The sequence below is a fragment of the Homo sapiens genome, chromosome 4 (genome assembly GCF_000001405.40).
Source record: "Homo sapiens chromosome 4, GRCh38.p14 Primary Assembly".
Lineage (NCBI taxonomy): Eukaryota > Metazoa > Chordata > Mammalia > Primates > Hominidae > Homo > Homo sapiens.
Window position 1 is genome coordinate 37,454,070 of NC_000004.12, and position 21,980 is coordinate 37,476,049.

Consider the following 21,980-nt stretch of genomic DNA (forward strand, 5'->3'; position numbering starts at 1 on the left):
AAAGAGGGCTTTAGTCCTGCGGAACTTGGCTTTGGGGCGAGCTTTCCCCCACTTCTCTCCGAGTCGCCTACTTTTAAGTTTAATTTCTTGATTTGCTTTTGCCCTGAAAAAAAAAATTAGAGACGCAATTCAAAGTTTGATGACTTCGGGAAAAGTCACGTAATTCAACAAAGGGGCTCTAAAAGGGGCAAAACTCGGGTGGGGGGAGGCGGACTTTTACAGATTCCCAAAACCAAAGACCAAGGCGTTTGTAAAGCTTGGCGTTTAATTGGTTGTGTGAAACATTTTTGCTTTTAAATCCCTAACTAATGAACTTTCAACGGTGCATGCGAACTTGAAAAAACTGCAAGAGATTTTACCTTAGATCTGTGCCCTCCTCCCCCATTTTAAGTATGTTTTTTAATAAAAAGGAAATGGAATGTGACCTCTGCTGTTTCTTTGAAATGCCCTTGGGTCCCGGTATTTGCCCCCCAGGGGTGCTGGCGGCCTGGGCAGTGGGTAGGGGTGGGGGAAGAGGTCAGGGTGCCAGGAGGCCTCACGTAGTGAAAAGAGGGTGCCAGGTGCAAACAGTTAAATAGTCACAAACTGTTTGCTAAATATTTAATAATTAGGCAAGCATCTCCCAGCTTGGTTACTTAGGTTGCATTGACCTTGGCAGCCCTGATGAGGCGAGATTTTCACAAAGTACTGGTGAAGAATTTTTCCGGTGATAAAAGGCAAGGATCAATGCTTTTTACCCCAGCATGGCAATTGACCTTAAAAACAAAATTAAAACTCCCTGTGATGACTTAGTACATTTTATGTTACTTTCCATGGCAGCATAGATACCTGCCCCATGATGGATATTTGCCCTGTGAATTTAGAGAAAGTTTGTGCTCCAGAGGTGGTTCAAATCATTGAAGAATAGGGCGTTTATTTTCTTCCTGTCACTATTTATGGGAAAGAATTACGGATGGTCCTTCTTGCCCTGGTTTGTGGATGTCCTTGGTGGTTGCAATCAAGCAAGCTCTTATGAGGAATAATATCTGGAGAAAAGAAGAGAAGCATTTGAGAGTTGAATGAGAAAGAAATGGAAAGCGGTTACTGCTTTTAAACATAATAGAGTCTATATTTGTTGCCTACCCCTCCCCCTTCCCCATTTAATCCTTCAGTTGATACTATTTTAGGAAGGATAAGACAGATGTTAAAGATCATAGACCACCTTACTGGTCCCAGCTGTGAAACACTGTCAGGAGGCAGATAATTGAAACAAGGTACATAATTGAAACAATTTGAAGCTCAAAGGTAAAGTTAAGTTCTGGAGTTATTTGTATTTCCCTAAAGTGTGAAGAGTCAGCTAACAGCAAGCTGCCTGGGTCACTGAGCAGAAATGGAACAGATGCTGAGACAGGAAGGGAAGGTGTGGCTTACTTCTCTTCTTGGCCCATTCTGTGTCTATCCTCTGATCCTGCTCCGTGCATTTATTCAGCAAGTATGATCTTGGTCCTCAATGGCTCCGGAGATTTAGATAAATAATGATACCTAAAGAGAAATAGGGCCAATCTTTCCTGTGTTTCAAAGAGCTTTTTGGATATCTGGGATTGAAGACAAAACCTTGCATACCAACTCAACACGTTCCATTATCCTAAACATGGAATGATTCCCTTGACGTCCCACCCAGACCCTCTCTGAGCCGGAAATACAACCTGGCTAAGCTCCGGCCAGAATCCATTTGCAGCCCAAGGGCAGAGCACAGGTAGGGCCGGCCCCTTTCCTCCTAGAACAGCCCGCTCTTGGTGCCCGGAAGCCCATTCACGGTGCTTCTTGGAATAGACGCCAGTTTCCAAATAATTGAATACCAGCCTTCCAGTAGCTAGGTTTCCTCTCCCTAGACTGTGTTTCACATTCCCCTAGTTACACAATTTTTCTGGTAACCCTGAATCTTGGGATCTTTTACAGTCTTGGTTAAATAGTAACTAGTACCTATGTCCTGCTTTTCTTTCTTGGTCATTAGGCAGATTTTCTTTTTGGTCATTCTTTTTGGTCATTAGATTACATGCTTACAGAGAGACTTTGTAGGTGTGTAGAAAAGAGTTGAGTTAAAGGGGTCATCCTAGGGGAAGCCGACTTGGAGTCTTCACCTATGTGCAGGTCAGATGTAGTCTTTCTCGAGTGCCTGCTCTTAACCATTGAGCCATCCTGTGTCTCCAGTTGTAGCCTTTCTTACTCTGACTGCTATTTAAGAGAATAAACTGAAAATGAAATCGCTCATCTACTTGTACCCTTTTCACCCGAGAATATCATAGTCCCACAGAGGTTAGTTAAAATCTTCAGGACTGTAGATTATCAAATAATCCTTTCCTAAAACATACGTAAAACACCAAGCCAATGAATACGTGTCCTGAAACAGAAAATTAAAACTCTGACTCAGTGTTGTCAGGCATTGTAGAAAAGATGTTCCAGAGCTGCAATGAATATTAACAAATGACAAAAGGAATATTGTATCTCACTCAAACTTTATCAGAAGTGCTGAACTCTGTTCTGTTCAGTGTACAAGTGGTTCTACAAAATTTAATAAAACCCTGACCTGGCCTTGGAGACATCATGTGCGTAGACCCAGAGACACCAGAGAGTCGATGAGTTTCTGGGGACACAGTCCTTGTCTTCAGAGATCCCAATATCTTGGGAGAAACCATTGAAGGATCTTAAGCACAGCAGATCTCTATTTTAGAGAGTTCATGCAGGCTGCAATGAGAATGAAACAGGAAAGATACAACCAAGACCAAAGGCAGCTGCGGCAAAAATTTAAATTAGAGGAGAGAGAGAAGTGAACTGATTCGAAAGATAGTTAAAGAAGCACTGGTATTTAAGATTTTAACTGTAAGAACCCATTAATTGACTTGAATCTCTGACGTCAATTTACATGTCATTTCAAAATACATTTTCTCTAGGTAGATAAATGTAAGCCACATTTCATTGCAATGTTCATGTGGATTCTAGTTCCTCTAGAGCTCCTCATGGTTTTTAATCACAGAAAAAGGTTTCTGATAAATAGCCAATTATATTTCACATTTTCAACAACCTAGTGCTTCTTTCTACAGACTTAAATATCTACATCTGAAGGCAAAGCTGAAGTAAACTGTTGCCCTCATATTATATACACATTCTCTGATTTAGCTTAACTCCTTCTGGGAGTAAAAACACCCTGACATTTGATTGTTTAACACTAGTGGAAATGGACAGTAGAACAGCCTTTCTTTTTTATTGTTTTCAGTTGACCACAACATGGCCTGCTGTATGTCACAGAGAGGACTGTATTATATTTGTAAGAGTATTAGTGACGTGTGAGAGGCTATACATAATGCCTGTGAACAAACAAAAGTCACCTTGGTTATTGACTCATTGCCGCATGCATAGCTTTTTAATACAATGTGTATTTGGATGTATTTTAAATTTATTCACTTGATCACTAGTTGTGGAGTAGATGTCTACACACAGGAGTTTTGAAATTTGATTTTGGTGTTGTTTTCCCTCATTTGATAACTGAGTATCATATATCTTGGTTATTAACGTGCAATAAATACAAAGATTTGATTCTGTATAGCTGTGAAATAGTACTGCTTTTATTTGGTCAGATTGTCAACAACCTTAGTCCTCCAGAATATGTATTGTAACCTAGAAATGCATAAAAGAAGTCCACCTGCACCTTCAAATTGTTGTTAAGAGTCACATACTTAAGATTCCCACTAGAACTTATTTGGCATTATTTCATTTCTGATTCCTAATGAGCTTGGCTACCTGGGTTCCTGGTCCACAGCAAGATCTACTTTATAGTTTCAATGTACAGCTCTTGTGATAAGTATGAAATGTGGTTACAGCCAAATGCTAGGCAGCAAAGACAATACAGTGAAGGTGGTCTGTGATTAAACCCTAAGTCTACAAGAAAAACATTAAATTGTGTTCAAAACTATCTGTTAGAAAGGAAGAAGTACTGCCTTTTGGTAAAAAGGACCCTTGATCCTTTTTAGAGCTGGAAAAGAACCTTAAAAGTTACTTGGTCTAACCACCTTAATTTACAGGTGAGGAAACTGAGTCTCAAAGAGGTTAATTGATTTGTCCAAAGTCATACAGCTGCCCATTGGAAAAACTGCTGGGACTGGAATCTCAGAGTCCCAATTCCTGGTTTAGTCATGTTCCTACTTCTGACTAAAAAGCACAAATGTTAGTACTATGAAAAACTCATTCTATATTAAGTATAATATTGTCCAAAACATAGCCACTGTTTATTGAGAAATTACTTATATATTCAGTATCAGTTATCTATTGCTGTGTAACAAATCACCCCACACGTAATGGCTTAAAATAACCACCATTTATTGAGCTTGTGCTTCTGTAGATAAGCAGTTTGGGTGGGCTTGGGTGGGCAAATTACGTTCTTTTCCAGTTTCCTCCATGCATCTGTGGACACCAAGGCAGCTCTGCCTCTGAGTATTGGCGGACCATCGGCCATGTCACGTGGGGAGCAGCTGAGCCTCACGTCTTTCATGATTTAGCAGCCTAGCCTGGGTTCATCACATGTTGGCTCAACTTGGTTGCAAGAGAGAATGGAAGCAACGCCCCTTGAGGCCTAAATTCAAGCTGACACAACTCACTTCTACTCCAGTCTATTTCAAAAGCAACTCGAGAAGCCAGCTCAGATTCAAGGGGTGGAGAAATAGACCCCACTTTTTAATGGGAGGAACTGCAACGTTACATTAGAAAATGGCATGGATTCAGGGAGGGATGGAGAATCATGGCCTTTTTCACAATTTATAATATACACCTCGTACCTTATGTAACTTGTCTAACTTAATTCTCACAATAGCACTGAAGGTTAAGGCAAAATTCCTATTTTACAGGTGAAGAAACTGAGAACCAGACATGTTAGTCTGGATTAGGCAGGACAGATGGTGAGTGATGAATCCAACACTGGGACTTGGGTGTGTCTGACTCCAAAGCCTGTGCTCAGTACCACGACGGAGCTCTGCCTCCCTACATAATGCTGCAGTGAAGGGTGGTGGTATTACTAAGTATTATACGGCTCAGAGTTTTGCGTGAAAAAAAAATCAAACTTTAGTAAAACTTTTTCATGATTTATATGCTAAGAGAAATATCAAACATGATTATGCCCTCAAAGAACATATGGTCTCATTTATATATGGTTGCAGTGTGCACACATGTTATTTAAGCAATAAAATTCCAAGTAAAGAGAAGTAAGACTGGATAATCAGAGAAGCTTAATAGAGGATGAAGTGATGAGTTCAGGGGAGCCAAGAGAAAGCCCTATTTAGAATAGTATCTGTTAATATCTCAAAAGATCCTCACGTCATTTATATAAATTAAGTAATATTCCCATTATACAAGGGAAGTTATTTGCCCTTAGTCACACAGCTAAAACCTAATCAAGATGACATTTAAACCCATGTCCATGTATCTCAAAAAACTATTCCTTTTCCATTTTTTTCCAATAAGCCAGTAAGCTTTGGTCCTCGAAGTGAGGTCCATGGACCAGCAGCATCATAACCATCTGGGAGCTTGTTGGAAATGCAGAGTCCTGACTTCACCTCCAGTCTACTGAATCAGAACCTGCATTTTAACAGGATCTCCCAGATGATTGCATAACCACAGTAAATGCAGAGCCCTGCACTAAAGGGAGCTTGGAGAAATGACTTGTATTAAGATAGGTGAAGGAGGGTGGAAGAGCTTTCTTTCTTTTTTTTTTTTTTTTAGCTTGGTTTTTTTTTTTAATTTTATTTTATTTTAAGTTCCAGGATACATGTGCAGAACGTGCAGGTTTGTTACATAGGTAAACATGTGCCATGGTGGTTTGCTGCACCTGTCAACCCATCACCTAGATATTAAGCCCTGCATGCATTAGCTATTTATCCTGATACTCTCCTCCCCCTGCCCTCCCTACAGCCCCGGTGTGTGTTGTTCCCCTCCCTGTGTTCATGTGTTCTCATTGTTCAACTCCCACTTATGAGTGAGAACATGTGGTGTTTGGTTTTCTGCTCCTGTGTTAGTTTGCTGAGGATGATGGTTTCCAGCATTATCCATGTCCCTACAGAAGACATGATCATGCTTCTTTTTTATGGCTGTATAGTATTCTGTGGTGTATATGTGCCACATTTGCTTTATCCAGTCTGTCACTGATGGACATTTGGGTTGATTCCACGTCTTTGCTATTGTGAATAGTGCCGCAATAAATATACATGTGCATGTATCTTTATAATAGAATTATTTATATTCCTTTGGGTATATACCCAATAATGAGATTGCTGGGTTGAATGGTATTTCTGGTTCTAGATCCTTGAGGAATTGCCACACTGTCTTCCACAATGGTGGAACTAATTTACATTCCCACCACCAGTGTTAAAGTGTTCCTATTTCTCCACAGCCTTGCCAGCATCTACTGTTTCTTGACTTTTTAATAATCACCATTCTGACTGGTATGCTGTGGAATCTCATTGTGGTTTTGATTTGCATTTGTCTAATGATCAGTGATGAGCTTTTTTTATATGTTTGTTGGTCACATAAATCTCCTCTTTTGAGAAGTGTCTGTTCATGTCCTTTACCCACTTTTTGATGGAGTTGTTTGGTCTTTTTCTTGTAAATTTGTTTAAGTTCCTTATAAATTCTGGAAATTAGACCTTTGTCAGGTGGGTAGATTGCAAAAATTTTCCTCCATTCTATAGGTTGCCTGTTCACTCTGATGATAGTTTCTTTTGCTGTGCAGAAGCTCTTTAGTTTAATTAGATCCCATTTGTCAATTTTGGTTTTTGTTGCAATTATTTTTGACGATTTCATCATAAAATCTTTGCCCATGCCTATGTCCTGAGTGGTATTGCCTAGATTCTCTTCTGGGGTTTTTATGGTTTTGGGTTTTACATTTAAGTCTTTAATCCATCTTGAGTTAATTTTTCTATGTGGTTTAAGGAAGGGGTGCAGTTTCAGTTTTCTGCATATGGCTAGCCAGTTTTCCCAGCACCACATATTAAATAGGGAATTCTTTCCCCATTGCTTGTTTTTGTCAGGTTTATTGAAGATCAGATGGTTGTAGATGTGTGGTCTTATTTCTGAGGTCTCTATATCTGTGTTGGTACCAGTACCATGCTGTGTTGGTTACTGTAGCCTTGTAATATAATTTGAAGTCAGGTAGCGTGATGCCTCCACCTTTGTTCTTTCTGCTGAGGATTGTCTTGGCTGTATGGACTCTTTTTTGGTTCCATATTAATTTTAAATTAGCTTTTTTTCTAATTTTGTGAATAATGTCAATGGTGGTTTGATGGGAATAGCATTGAATCTATAAATTACTTTGGGCAATATGGCTATTTTCAAGATATTGATCCTTCCTATCCATGAGGATGGAATGTTTTTCTGTTTGTTTGTGTCCTCTCTTATTTCCTTAAGCAGTGGTTTCTAGTTCTTCTTGAAGAGGTCCTTTACATGAGGGTGGAGGAGCTTTCTAGGCAGGGAGAACAGTGAAAGCTTGGACGCTGGGCTGGAATCAATGCCACAGGTATGAAAGCAAGTGGAGGGATTGCTGGACTAGAGTAGGGGTGCGTTTTTGGCAGTAAAAGGAAGTTATGTGAGACTGATGGAATCGCTGTGGAGCCTGATGAAGTCTGCTTGTTAGAAAGGTTAATCGGGCAGTACTGAGGCTGGCCTGGCAGCAGTGACCCTGGTTGTTGCTTAGGCTTTGCTGTCCTTTAGCTGTCCTGTGAAGAGAACTCAGACCAAGGAAAAGATGGAGGAAATAGAGGAGAAGGATGCAATCTGGGAGGCATTTCAAAGCACCTTCCATGGGACTCGATGCCAGATCTTCTAAGGGAATAAAGAGAGAATGTGAACATGATTCTGGACTGTCAAGTTCTGAACTGTGCTTCCCAACCTTCAGGCTGGGATGTTATCTTTGCAATTCTTTGCTACTGTAAAAGAAGGATACTTTTTGGTGATTGTGGTTTTGTTGTTTGTTTAAAGGCAGCTTCCCCCATTCCTTTTCATTATAGCAGTTTTTCAGCTTTTGCTAAGAGGTAATTCAAACATTTAAATTCCAAATCTGTATGTCCATGTAAATAGTGGGGAAATTTTTTTGGCAGGCAATTATTTGTAATGAAATAGTTCTTTATGTAGTTCTGTTTATTAGGCCTTCCCAACAACCCTGTGATATCTATGTAGGTAGGATTATGATGATCATTTCATAGTTAAGGACACAGACTTGGAGATGTGATTCAGCCAAAACTTGAACCCAGGCCTGCTGGCTCCAAGCACAATTCTCTATCTGTCCAACTAAAGCACTTTGCAGGTTTTCTATTTGGTCTTTGGAGGAGATTATCAAACTGATCAGTCTTTGGTTTACTTTGGTTTGACTTTTTTCATATACACTGTGCCAAATTCAGAACGATGCTTCAAAGTTTATATTGGTGGTTTGAAGTAATTATTTCATGGAAAATTGAAAATGCCTCATTAAAAACTGATTTCCTCCCCTGCCTGATTTTCTTATTTTATTGAATCCATATGTTGATCCCAATGGCAACAAACCACACTTCAAATTTCAAATGATGTGAGCAATTTTGCCGTCCATTCCTTTGTTTCTTTGAATGATGAAAAGATTTTTATTTTTTTTCAATTCAATTTCTAAGCCTATTTCTTAAGCAACTAAGCTGAGGCTTTAAAAATGTCCATAGATGAGGTCAGGAGATCGAGGCCATCCTGGCTAACACAGTGAAACCCCATCTCTACTAAAAAAATACAAAAAATTAGCCGGGCTTGGTGGCAGGTGCCTGTAGTCCCAGCTACTCGGGAGGCTGAGGCAGGGGTATGGCATGAACCTGGACTGCACTCCAGCCTAGGTGACAGAGCGAGACTCAGTATCAAAAAAAAAAAAAAAAAAAAAAGTCCGTAGATGACAGAATCATGACCTGGAAGGGGTCTTCAGTGGTCCAAACCCCTCATTTTATGGATAAGAAAACTGAGGCCTAAAGAGAGAATGGGACCTCTTAAAGGATCTCCCATAAGTTGGAGGTTGTTGTAGGGCTGGGACCCATGTCTATAACCTTCCTGTCCTGTGCTTTTTCACTCAACCACTTCAGAGCTGTTCCTTTCCCTGTGGCAGCGTCTCCCAGCCACTGGTGAGCAGTGTAGGGAAGTTGAAAGAGTTCACATTTTAAAGCCGCCATTACCTGGGTTTGAATCCTGGTTTGCTGGCTACCTGGCATGTGACAAACGCATTTAATGCTATAGTCATTTCCAAAGAGAATAATAAAACAGAGTTAATTGGCTAGACCGTCAAGATTGCAGTTACAATTTATCTGCATTCTCTTTTAAACTTGACAAGACAAGTTTTATGATGCTCACCAGGATTTGGTTTTGGCAAAGGAAGCCAAGTGTTCTAGGGGTGGACATAGTAAAAATGGAAGAGATCCACTGCAGCCCAGGCAGAGGCCCCACCAAGCCTGATCCCCCTGCTGTAAAATGAGTTCAGGCACTACTGTTGATGCCATGCATTCTCTGTTGGAAGATAAAACACAAGTATTTCCTGGTGCTGCAGCACAGGGCTAAATTGTGGCGCTGGGGAGGTGAGCCTGAAAACAAAGGCAGATAGAGAAGTCACAGCTCACTGGTGAGGGAGCTAGAGAGTTGTTTTCTTAATACCCTCTGCCTTTGAATCTGCCTAGATTCAAAGATTTAATGGGGCAAAAGGAGTGTTACTTTTATATAACCAAAAAAAAAAAAAACTAAAATAGCTTTAGAGAATAAAATTACTGAAACTGCAACCCTTGACAGGCAATTGCCCTTTAAGAGTTAACTAGACAAACAAGCAAAACAAGCTAACAAATACAAACTCAAGAATCCACGGCTGGAGCACATCGCAGGTCCCCTAATGGCAGGTATGACTAGGCGAGGCACAAGTACACCCGCGCCCATAAGTCAGAAATTATGAGATTCATCCTCCCAAACACAGATGACAGCATCATATGCACATTTGTTTGCATTAAATCAGTACTCACCTCTGCAGGTGCTTACCCTCTATTCAGTTTAAGTGAGCCCTTTGGAAAGAAACTGGGTGTGGGGGTTGTATTTTCTTCCATCACTAAGCCATTTGTTCCACTGTACTTCTTGTGTAAGTCTCAAAAGAGGAGAAGCTATGGCCCACTTGGAGTCAGGCCTGGCTGCCCCAGAAGAGACGGTAATGAGGGCTGGACTCTCATCGGGTTTGAATTTTGGCTCTGCCATTTGTTGTGGGACCTCAGAAATACTTAAAATTCCTGGATTTCAGTTTCCTCATCTGTAAAACTGGGACGCTAACTACTCCTGGATTTCAGTTTTCTCATCTGTAAAACTGGGACGCTAACTACTTCCTCTAATGTGTGTCTACCTAGCACAGCCCGCCCTTAGTAAATGTTTAAATAATCTGAGTCTCAGCCTCTATGGCCTCCCATTTTCTCAAATGTAAAATACATCTGGACTAGAGCAGAATGGGAGGTACAGGATGGAAAGAAAGAATGAGGGAGGGGCTCAAACTACACACACCTTCTCCTGGCTCCCCTCGTCTTGACCTTATATAAAAGCCACACGAAATAGCAGGAAGCTTTCAAGCTTAAACTCTTGGGATTTCCCCTGAATTTCTAACTAGAGATGTAAATTTCCTCATTATGAAATTGTCTACTTAAATATCTGTCCAGGGATAGTTTCAAATGTTTCTAAATATACCCCAAGCATGTAAAGAACTTGTTAGGGTAAAACCTATAATCAATTCCATGTTTGTATTAGTGTGAGGCAGAGAGGATGCCAAGGACTGAATTTGAGGAAAGGAAGCAACAGTGGAGTTCACAGAGAAAGCAGAACTTATTTACATGCTGAAATGATCACAGTATAAGTAGGGAGACTAAAGAAAACTGTAAAATATGGAGAAATTAAAGCTCAAGAACGTGACCTTTTCTTGATTCTCAGTTCCATGAAGAGTTTTCAAAATAACAAAGGTGGCATTTATAACATTTAAAAGAGAGGGCCGTGGCCTCACTTTTCATATTTAGTATATTCTCCATTCTTCATTTTGTGAATTGGAGTTTTGAAAAAATATTACTGTAAAATGTTCTTATACTGGAGGGCCCATTCCAATTAGTGAACCTAGTGCCACAAAAAGCTTTTTTTTTTTCTATCAATGTGTAGAATAAAACCTAAATACCCTTTTATTGAACAAGCATCTGCGGAGGTCAAGCACCGTGCCAGGTGGTGAGGATACAAAGGTGAACAAAATGGACCTGGACACAATCTTGGTGGGAGACAGGTATTGATGCAATAACCATACTGGTGTGGATGGCTTCCCTGAGGAAGGGATGTCCAGCTGGGATCCACAGGATGAGTGGACTCTTACCCGGCAAAGGGAGCCCCAGAGAGGGGAGGGCGAAGGGCATGCTGATATGGCTTGGGGGGATGGTGTTCTGAGAAATGTCTTGAGCACGAGGAGTACCAAGAGAAGTAGACAGTAGCTTCATCCTGCAGGCCTTGCAGACCACATGCTAAAAACCAACCTCAGCTAACCTGGTCCTTCATATCTACCAGGTCCCTCTCAGTGGATGTTAAAAACTCCAGAATTTGGAGGTGGGTGAGGATAAAGAAACCATCCTCACAGCCTCAACACTTGGTCTCGGGTTCGATTCACCCTCACAATCCAAGTTTGATTAGTAAGCAGGAATAAAAACAATCATACATCCTGTCCTGTAAGCTTGGTGAGGCCCCTCCTTCTATTCTTTTGGTTTCTCCAACTGTATCTTCATGGAAAGTTCATGAAAGACAAATGTGACACTCTTCTAGAAGAAGAGTTGAGGTCACCTAAGAGCTTAATTTAAGCAGCAAGAATGCTTTGAACCGGCCACTGAATGAGCCATTTCTCAGAAACAAGCACTAGGAACATTGGGAAGGGTAAAAGATACTGGATTGCTGTAATCACATTGTTGATGCAAGAGTGGGAGTGCCTCTCACTACACTATTTCTAGCCAGTCCACACTCATACAAAACTGATTTCACCAAGGAAAAATAACTTCTAACATCCATTTTGCAAACTCATAAAGTCCTTTGTGTTGAGTGGAAATAATGAGGCTAGCATACCTGTACAAGCCATCTCTGCCTTCTGATTATATTTCGTTTCTGAAATATTATATTTATATTTTGAAATATATCTGAAATATTAATGAAATATAATATCTGAAATATATTTCATTTCTGAATATATATTCCTGTTGGGGCAACTCATTTAATCTACATCCTAAAGCACAGATTAAAAGCACACTCATAAATTCCAAACTGTCTACGCTGACATACCATAAATTAGCAAATTGCAGACAATACAACCTTATAGTTGGTGGTCTTTATTTTAAGAACAGTGAGAAGCTATTGAAGGTTTTAAACTGAGGAGTAATAAGATTTGCATCCCTGGCTGCTGTGTAGGAAGAAGGCAAGACTGGGAGAGAAGAGATCAATTAAGGGACTATTGCAGAAGAAGATGTTGATTCTCCTCTTGAATAAAGTAGAGGCAATTATAGAGTGAGAAGTGGATGGGTTCCTAGGATAGTCAATAAGATCACCAGTACCTGGTAATGGGATAGGAAATGGGAAGTGAGGGAAGAGGTGTCAAGATTGAATATTAGGACTTGGGTATACAAGTTTTCTTGCAGTATTGTTTGTGATGAAAAAAATCCATATATCATCAACATATACAATATGTAGGCCAAGCACGCTGGCTTATACCTGTAATCCCAGCACTTTGGGAGGCCAAGGTGGGCAGATCACCTGAGTTCAGAAGTTCAAGACAAGCCTGATCAACATGGTGAAACCCCATCTCTACTAAAAATACAAAAATTAGCTGGGCATGGTGGTGGGCACCTGTAATCCCAGCTACTTGGGAGGCCGAGGCAGGAGAATCGCTTCAACCCGGGAGGCAGAGGTTGCAGTGAGCCAAGATCATGCCATTGCACTCCAGCCTGGGTGACACAGTGAGACTCCATCTCAGAAAAAGAAGTACAGTATGTAGATACAGTGCAGTACTCTGCACTGATTTAAAAATGAGATGTATGTGTAATGACATGACAGAAATATTCAGGATATAGTCTTAAGTTTTTAAAAACTTGTTGAAGAAAAATGCACTTAGTGTTTCATTTTAATAAAATAGGAATGATTATAATTAGCTCTTAACAGAAAATAGCTGGAAGAATAAATTTTAAACAAATAACAGTGAAGATTATAGGGGCATTTACAAACTATATTTGACATTTCTGTACTCGAGTTTTTGCAACTCTCATGTTTACTTTTGTAGTCAGGGAAAGCAGACTTTGCAGAAGAGCAAACTGCCCTTCTTCTATCATAGAATCTTCTGATCCTCTGTCCTAAAATGATTGCTCCCTCTTCCGAATATCTTCTAGATTGTTAGAGCCAAAAAGGGCTTTAGAGATCATTTAGTTCTACGTCTTCATTTCACACATGAGGAAACTGAGGTCTAGAAGGACTAATGGGGTGGCCAAAGTCACATAACCCTAAATTAAGAGCAAGACCAAGACTAGAACCAAGGGATATACTGGCTTGTGGTCTAGAATTCTTTCTCCTACAAGCAAAGTCTCCTCTAGCACTCACTGTATCTGTGAATAATTTGGCTTTACTTGGAAGGCCTCATAAATAAATATGTCTTTCTCCTCCAGTAAATTTGTGCTTGAACTCAGAGTCAGTGTCCAGTATCACGTTCATGCATTGTGAAACATGCAGTACAACAATTGACAGGCTTCAGTTAGATTTCAGATCTGAGGCAACACTAAAATTTGGGGAAAAGAAAGACTCCCATTTGTGGTTTGTACTTACACAGCACTCTCAGGAGCTCGCTCATGTTCTCTCTCTGTCTTTCACACATACAGTAGGAATAAGTTAGTTGCCTAATTGGTTATGCTGGGGAAATGAACTTTGGGTTCAGGGCATGTCAGTAGGTACCTTCCCACTTGCAACAAAATACCAATATCCCGAACTTCCGGAAGGAAATGGCATGGCCGTTCAACTTTAATCTGTTGATAATGTCAGTAATTTCCCACAACTATATTCAACACTTTCTGGTCCTACAATTCTCATAGGTCCTTTTCACACAGTGTGTCTCAGGGACTGTTTCATATCTCACAGAGACACAGCCAACCCTGGCTTGACTATGGGCGTGGAGCAGTGTTTCACATTGTCAACCCCTCATGTTGTGGGGTTCAGCCAGATGGAGGCTTTTGAATCACTGTTCAGTGATATAAACCTCCTCCTTTGACCGAAATGAGAAATGATGGCTACTTTGTCCCTTGCCTTGTAGCTCCCCAGGGGCAATTAGGGAGTTGCCCCAGCCTGCAAAGGGCTGTGTTAGGATCTCACCTCTGGTGCCTCGTCCTTTTCTTCTCCTCCCCTGAAGCTAATCATGACACTTTTGTCTCTACTGAGCTCCACTTGGCATCTGGTGTTCATCGTCTAAATGAGCTGCTATCTCTAGGAAACTATTCTGCTCTCTGCCTCCCATTTTGCAAATTTGGTGTGTTTGTTTCCAGTGTTTTATTAATTTATTTCAACTGAACATTTTCCATATCCTAAACATTGACATTATTTACGTTACCATCTGCTTGATGTTTTAGACTCTGTATACCCCCCCACACACATATGTTTGTGTAAGATTCAGTTCTAAAGTCTTTCAAACCAGTTTTCTTTTCCAATAGTTAATTCTGTGCGGGTTCACAATGCCTTAAATATTTAAGTATCCATGTAATGCATTTATATTTTTTATCTTAAAATTCGGAAAAAACGTTAAGCCTCATAACTATGATATTCCTTTAAATTGTATTAAACTAGGATTTTGATATACAGTCATGTACCTCATAACAACGTTTGGGTCATATACCTCTTATACAATGTTGGTGCCTTAAGATTATAATACCGTATTTTTACTGTACATTTACTATGTTTAGATATGTTTACAATTGCCTACAGTATTCAGTAGTATAGTCACATGCGGTACAGATTTGTAGCCTAGGAGCAACAGGTTGTACCATCTAGCCTAGCTGTGTAGTAGGCTCTACCATCTAGGTTTGTATAAGTACACTCTGATGTTTGCACAAAAACAAAATCACCTAGCGACACCTTTCTTGGAACATATTCCCATTATTAAGCAATGAATGACTAAATGATATAGGGAGAAATTTAAAGCACTAATTATTTTCTCCTCAGTCAGCTGTAAGTCTGCCTTTCAGTAAGCTTACATTGTTCTTTTCGCAAATGCAGAAATTTATTTCTCAATAAGCTTCTTGAATACCAACTTCACATAGAGACTGTGTAGTAGTCAAGGAGAGAAAGCGTGGAAGAGCAGCCAGTAGACCCTCATTGCAAGTAGAACAGGAAGGAATGTGACTGAACCACACCCCAGTGGATCTTAGAATCAGAAAATTACAAGACAACACATAGAAAATTCCAAGATGACAAGATTGTTGTGCCCTGGAGGGTTATTAAAAGAGTTGGTATTATCTCTATATAACCCAGACCTGGACTGTATATGTGCACCCTCAGAAGTACCTGGAAAATTTTATGTTTCTCATTTCGTTCAGCTATGCCCAGACCAAGCAATAATCTATCGGACTTATATTATTCTTGGTATGACATATAGTTACTGAATTTTCTAGTGAAATGCAAAATATGTTGGATGGACAACAGGATGAGCTATTTGAGTCAGTCTGCTCTGAAACTCAAAGGTTGATGTTCTCCATAACTTGACCCTTCCATATCTGCACACAGACCCATTATCTGCTTTGCCACAAGAACGCTGATCATATTCTCTTCCAAATGGATAAGGCAAAGCATTTTTATGCCAATACTATGACACTTTGGGAGATACAGTTTGTATGCATAAACATTGGGACATTTTGATATTCACTGATTCAGTGATAAATTATTATTCACTCAACAAATATGTATTGAACATCTCCCAAATTAAAACTGCCATGAAAGAGTTAGAACATAGCATCTGTAGATATAATTAAGAGCTACTACCGGGGAACTTGTTTATGTTTCTTAATATCTACAACCAACAGATTAGTACTTTCTAGCCATTTGTTTTTTGATTCATAAAGTTTTGAGAGTAAAGAAATGTAAGAAAAAAATCAATTACCTCACAATCAACTGAGACTGTTTTCCTGCTAGAAATTCCCAGTTGGAACTGATTAAGAAATGTGTGTTTCTGATAAAGGTACAGGTGGAGCCAAAGGATAAAAGGGTGCTGTGTCTTTAAATTTAAAGATATTTTATAATTGTCCTTGAAGTTTCTATTTTCATTTGTTTGCTTTGGGTGGGACATGGAAAATATTTGCCTACTGTATGGTACTAATCTTCATGCATGTGTTTGCAAATTACCTTCCCTGTGAAAAGGGTGGAGGCATTTCATTGGTGATGGCTTTTCTTATTAAATACTTGCAAATGCATGAATTTTCTGCACCAAAAGTTGGTGAGTTCATTTTATATCTGAAAGTCGGGTTTAAGAGAAGATGGCTCAGAAGCTTCAAAAGTGTGAAACTTTAGGAATTAAACATTGGGTTCTCTAGTTATAAATTATCACCGGAGCTACCTTAGTTATATGCTTAGTATTTTCATTGTAAGCCAGTTATTTTCAAAGTTTTGGTGAACCCTAATATTTATTCTAAATTACATTGTTTGAAGAATCTTATTTTGCTTACCTAAGAAGTTTTTTTTGAGATGTAGAAAAGATCTTTAAATTATTTTGAGTGGCTATGTGTGGTTTTCTTCCATAAATTAAAACTTCGATAGTTCAGAAATTATTATTCACTCAACAAATATGTATTCAACATCTCCCATATACTAGGAAGAAAGTATGTCAGCCTTCCTGAAAGCCCACAGCATATTTTTCACAAACAGAGAACTTTAATTTGCAAATAAAATTATTGAATTCTATACTCCCACACCACGTACCTGATGTTTCTAAAAGAAAAACATTAACTAAATTTCGCAGTTTATTTGAGCAAAGAACCATTCATGAATTGGGTAGCACTCAGAACCAAAAGAGATTCCAAGTTCTGCTCCACAGTGAGCAGTGAGCTTACATTGGCTAAACTTGGAAGTAAAATACAGAAATAACTTGATTGGTTACAGCTAGGTATTTGCCATAGTTGAGTATGGTCTGGTCAGTTGGCTGCATCTGATTGGCTGAAACCCAGCTATTTGTTACAAAAAATATTCTCCTAAGTTTTCATTTGTTTATATACTAAATTAGCTTACAGTTTGTTATACAGGAATTCAAAGCACAGAGACAGCCTCAGTCTTTTGACCCCCTGCTTATTTTGCTTTAACAGTATGTAAATGTATTCTAGAATGAATATAATTTCATATATAAACGTAATTTTATTGAGCACTAACTACAAGCTAAGCATTATACTCTGGGATGGTCAGGATACAGAAGTGAACAGAATCCCTGTAATATCTACTGGGAAAGAGGAACATTAAATAATCCTTAAATAAAAATAGAATTTAAATTGTGGAACAACAAAGGAAAGATCAAAGAGGTATATAATATCCTTAAATGGGATCCTGTTTAAATGATTTAAATGGGAGAGGGGAGGGAAGGGAGAAGGCAAGGAAGGCTTTTCAGAGAAAGTGAAGTGCTAAAAGTAGAAGAATGAAGAAAAGTTGGCCAGGGGAAAAGGTGGAGAAAATTGGCTATATACAATTTTAAAAAATAAAGGGAGACTTCATTCTGGGGGCAAGAAACCTGGTTTCTAGCTTAAGAGATGCTAGCAACTGCCCTTGAGCCTGTCTTAACCTCTGGCCTCATTTTCTTTAAGTGAGAAATCTGAGTTGGATAGAAGGATCTAGGATTTCTTCTCTTATTTGATCTGTGATTAATATGTATGGCTACCTTATGGGGAAGCTCTCCAGTGGCTCCGTCTGGGCTGGTTCCTGGAGCTGTCATCATCTTAGTCCACATTCTTTCGGTTCTTGGAAATGGGGAAGCTGCATACTGCGTGTGCCCCTGGCAGGCATTGGCTAGGACTTGCGACAGTCATGCAGTTAGGCTTGAGCGACTTCAGCCTCCTGCCCTACCCATGTCCACAAATTTATCTACATCTGCATCAGTCCTTTCCTCATTCTCTTCATTCTCAGAGGATAAGGTGTTCCTTTTCCTGTTCAAGGCCAACTTTTTCATGTGGACTTAACTTTTATCTTCCATCCTCTGGGATATTGCTTCACCAATTAATTCTGTCTTTGTCCTGAATCTATCAACTCTAACCAAATAAAAGTGGGGGTAAGGGGTGTTGAAAAAATTTATTTCTTACAAGATAAATATGTCTTCCTTTGAGCCTGTTGGCTACTGCCCCATCTCTGTTTCCCTTATTTAAAAATAAAATAATATAAAATAAAATGTCCTAAAGAGTTCTTGAGTAATTGCTGCCTTTAACTGCAATTCCCATTCCAGTTCACTCAACATATTGCTATTTGGTTTTAGTCCACATCGTGACATGAAAACATCACTGATCAATTCTAATGGTCATATTTCACCCCTTTAATTTAAAAACCTCCTTGCTACATTTCAAGCTATTGATCTTGAGGATGTCTTCCTTTTTGAAATTCTCCCTTTCCTTTGATGCTTTTATGCTATTACATTTCTTATTCCTGATTCTTCTCCTACTTCTATGACCAGTCCCTATTTTTCTATCATCTATTATCAAGTTTGACCCTGAGGTTTTCATGATGCAGAATCCAGTTGTATGTTCTATACTATCTATGAGTTATGTCTGCAAGGAAGAGTGTGCAAAGAATTCTGAGTAGGATTAAATGGTAACCATATTCATTGATTCAGGTCAACTGGCAAGGTAATCTGTGGAAGGTTACAGAATCAAAGATGACTTGAGAATTAGATAACAAGTAATTTAAATCTTGGGGACTTAGATGAGAAGACTGAACCCTTCGTAAAGTATAGAGTGTCCGTTCAAGTATACATAGGGAAAATTAGATCCTAAATCCCAGGCTAACTTGCTAGTGAAAATGCGCTAAGAAGGTAACCCCAAATTTTGGGGGAAAGCAAAATTATTTCCTTATAATATAGTGTTCTAACCATGGGAAAACTTAAAATTTAAGTGTAAATATGATGGACTAAATAAAATAAAAATATTTATACTTTTAGATAAGTTTGGGGAAAAGTCTTTAATATTTTAGATATTCATTATGTTTAAGATAATGTGTTAATATGATTAGCCTTGTGATTTCTAATCTAAAATATGTCATTGGATGATTGATTTAGACTTTGTATTTTCAAGTTAAAAATGTTAAGATAATTTTGCTGTATTTAATGCTATATTGAAATGTTTAATGTCTACTACTTTAACCAAGTTAAAAGATCACTCTTCAGAAGATTGACAGAGTTTAGAGAATGTTAAATAGAATATAAGATTTATAGTTGATCTCAATTCAAGGAAAATACATTTTTGGATTTGTTATTTTAATATTAATTTTAAAAACCGAAGTACCTGCAGATAATGCTTTTGAGGGTTGTAGGGGACACCCAGAAAATCTCCTTGCTATCTCCCATTCCCAAGCAGTAGTGTGTCCCTGGTCTTTCTTCTCACCCCACAGTTCTTCCCAGTCTTCTAGGCTCCCTGACCAACCTCTGGCAGTGTCAGAATATATGCACCACTCATAGCTCAAACATACATGATACCCAAATGCCTTTCTCCAGCCCTGCCCCCCTACACAGCTACAGATCCATTAAAAACTACTTCCGGTAGGGCATATCTGCTTGCATATCCCCAGACCCCATCCAACTCAACTCACCTGAAATGCAGTCTATCGGTGCTCCACCTTCAAGCCCACTGATGTGCTCTCCTTTCTGCTATTGTCTCAGCTGATGACATCATCAAGTGCTCTTTCCTCTCTAGGGCAAAGACTGGCTTGGACATTGCTATGGTTTGAATGTGTCCCCCAAATTTCATGTGTTTGAAATTTAATCCTCAATGCAACAGTTTTGAGAGGTGGGATCCTAAAGAGGTGATTAGGTCACAAGTGCCCTGCCATCATGAATGGATTAATGCCATTACCTTGGGAGTGGGTTCCTGATAAAAGGAAGAGTTCTGGCCCTCTTCCCTTCTTTCTTTCTCACGGGTTTCTCTCTTGCCTTTCTACCTTCTGCCATGGGATGTTGCAGCAGGAAGGACCTCATATAAAATAAAAGTCCCCCTGACCTCGAACTTCCCAACCCTCAGGACTGTAATAAATCTCTGTTATTTATAAATTACTCAGTCTCAGGTTGCTATAGCAGCACAAAGCAGGCTAAGACACTTGTCAACGTTGCCTCTCTTTGACCCCCTCAGTGCCTACTACCTGGCAACTGTAGGTACGCAAAAACTCAGTTGATAAATATGAAGCCCAAATAAAAGAGGGAATGACATGAATACCTGCTTTAGGATGAGTGGAAAGGGAAGACTCCATTATCATTTTGGTACTAGCTAATGGTTTCTTTGTCAAAAGGGTAGGAATAGCTAACATTCATTGAGCACCTACTATGTACTAGGTACTTTAGGTGATTTGTGCACATTAACTGAAAGGGTTGGGCTCAGAGAAGTTAAGTCATTCAGGATGATGAAGCTAGTAAGTGACAGAGATGGTACTTAGCGAAGGTCTGTGTAACTCCAGAACCTCTTCAGTGTTCCCACCTCTCCTCAGAATAGCTATTTTCACATTAAATTAGATTTCCTCTGACTGATGTTTTTATGCAGTGGTATTACTGATATAATTATGAAGATCAAGTGGCATGTATGCAAAAACTCAGAATTTAGGGTGTTTATAAAAAATTAGTAGATTTTTTTCATTTCCTTATAAAAGACTTCACATTTTCAGTCAAAATACCAGGGCTTGATCATTTCAAAGATGAATACTGTCAGTTATGGAAGGTACATCAGCAGAATCAGCTCTGCTAACTTTCTTGCTTGACCTACTGATGGTTTAGGAAAAAGCCTTCTCGAGTTTTCCAGATACTGTTAGACCAAGAAGGATGCATTTTAATCAAACTGAACACAAAAGGTTGGGTTTGGAGGAAATGCAACCACAAGAGTGCCTTTTAAGAAATAAAATTGAGAAATCATCCTTCTAACATTTCCTCCTTCCCTCCCCTTTATACAGTTCATAGAAACAATGCTCCTTTTTTTTCCTGTGGAGCACTTCAACCCCAGCACAAAATTAATAAAAGTGGTAAAACTGGAACTGCTATCTTAGCTACATCCACCCCACCCCATCACCATGAAGAATAAACCCTTTAAATACAGGCTGCCAGGTACAAGCTAAAGATTGAGATAATGATCCTTTGCTTCAAAATAAACATTTTTTAAAAATGAGTATTCTAGTCTATATATCTCATTCATGAATTAACTCTGTCACACTTAAAACTACCCTGTTTCTTTTAAGATTTGTAATGTTACAGGAAATTTTGTCTAGTTTCTCTTCAGGAAATTATAAAATTATACCACTTTTAGCAACATTTATGAATTAGTTATTTAGAATATCAGTCCTCTTGAGCTATTTTGTTTAATTAGGTCACATATACAAATTTGAAAATTGGAAATATCCTAGATAAAGATGTAAGAATTATATATGCAGTATTACAGGATAGATTTCTAGAAAGGGGTTCTAGTGAGCAGTAGCTTTTGACTAATAATGTTTAACTAGGGCATAAGGAATTTGAATTCCCAGAACTGCTTTTTACTGTGGCCAAAATTCAAAATAATTTTTATTTTTGTGAAATAATTTTTCTTCAACTACAAGGAAGAGAAAGGAAAAAAACTAAAATATGTATTTTATTTTAAAATACATTATTTAAAATAATTATTTTATTTTACAATACATTATTTAAAATATATTATTTAAAATAATTATTATTTTATTTTAAAATGCATTATTTTAAT

At 38.8% G+C, this 21,980-nt stretch overlaps 1 protein-coding gene and 1 long non-coding RNA gene across 5 annotated transcripts in view; one reads left to right on the plus strand and one right to left on the minus strand.

Moving 5' to 3' along the window:
- The window catches only part of PGCKA1 (PDCD10 and GCKIII kinases associated 1), a 140,256-nt gene that overhangs the window by 815 nt on the left and 117,461 nt on the right, over positions 1-21,980 (plus strand). The gene's annotated exons all lie outside the window — the stretch shown is intronic.
- Positions 248-21,781, minus strand: LOC124900691 (uncharacterized). 2 transcript variants are annotated; one of them, XR_007058098.1, is made up of 3 exons: positions 2,567-21,781; positions 1,411-1,521; positions 248-1,025 (listed from the first exon to the last, which is right to left on the minus strand). It is a non-coding gene; the product is annotated as an uncharacterized LOC124900691 (long non-coding RNA). The 2 variants fall into 2 exon arrangements; XR_007058097.1 differs by having other exon boundaries at positions 1,411-21,781.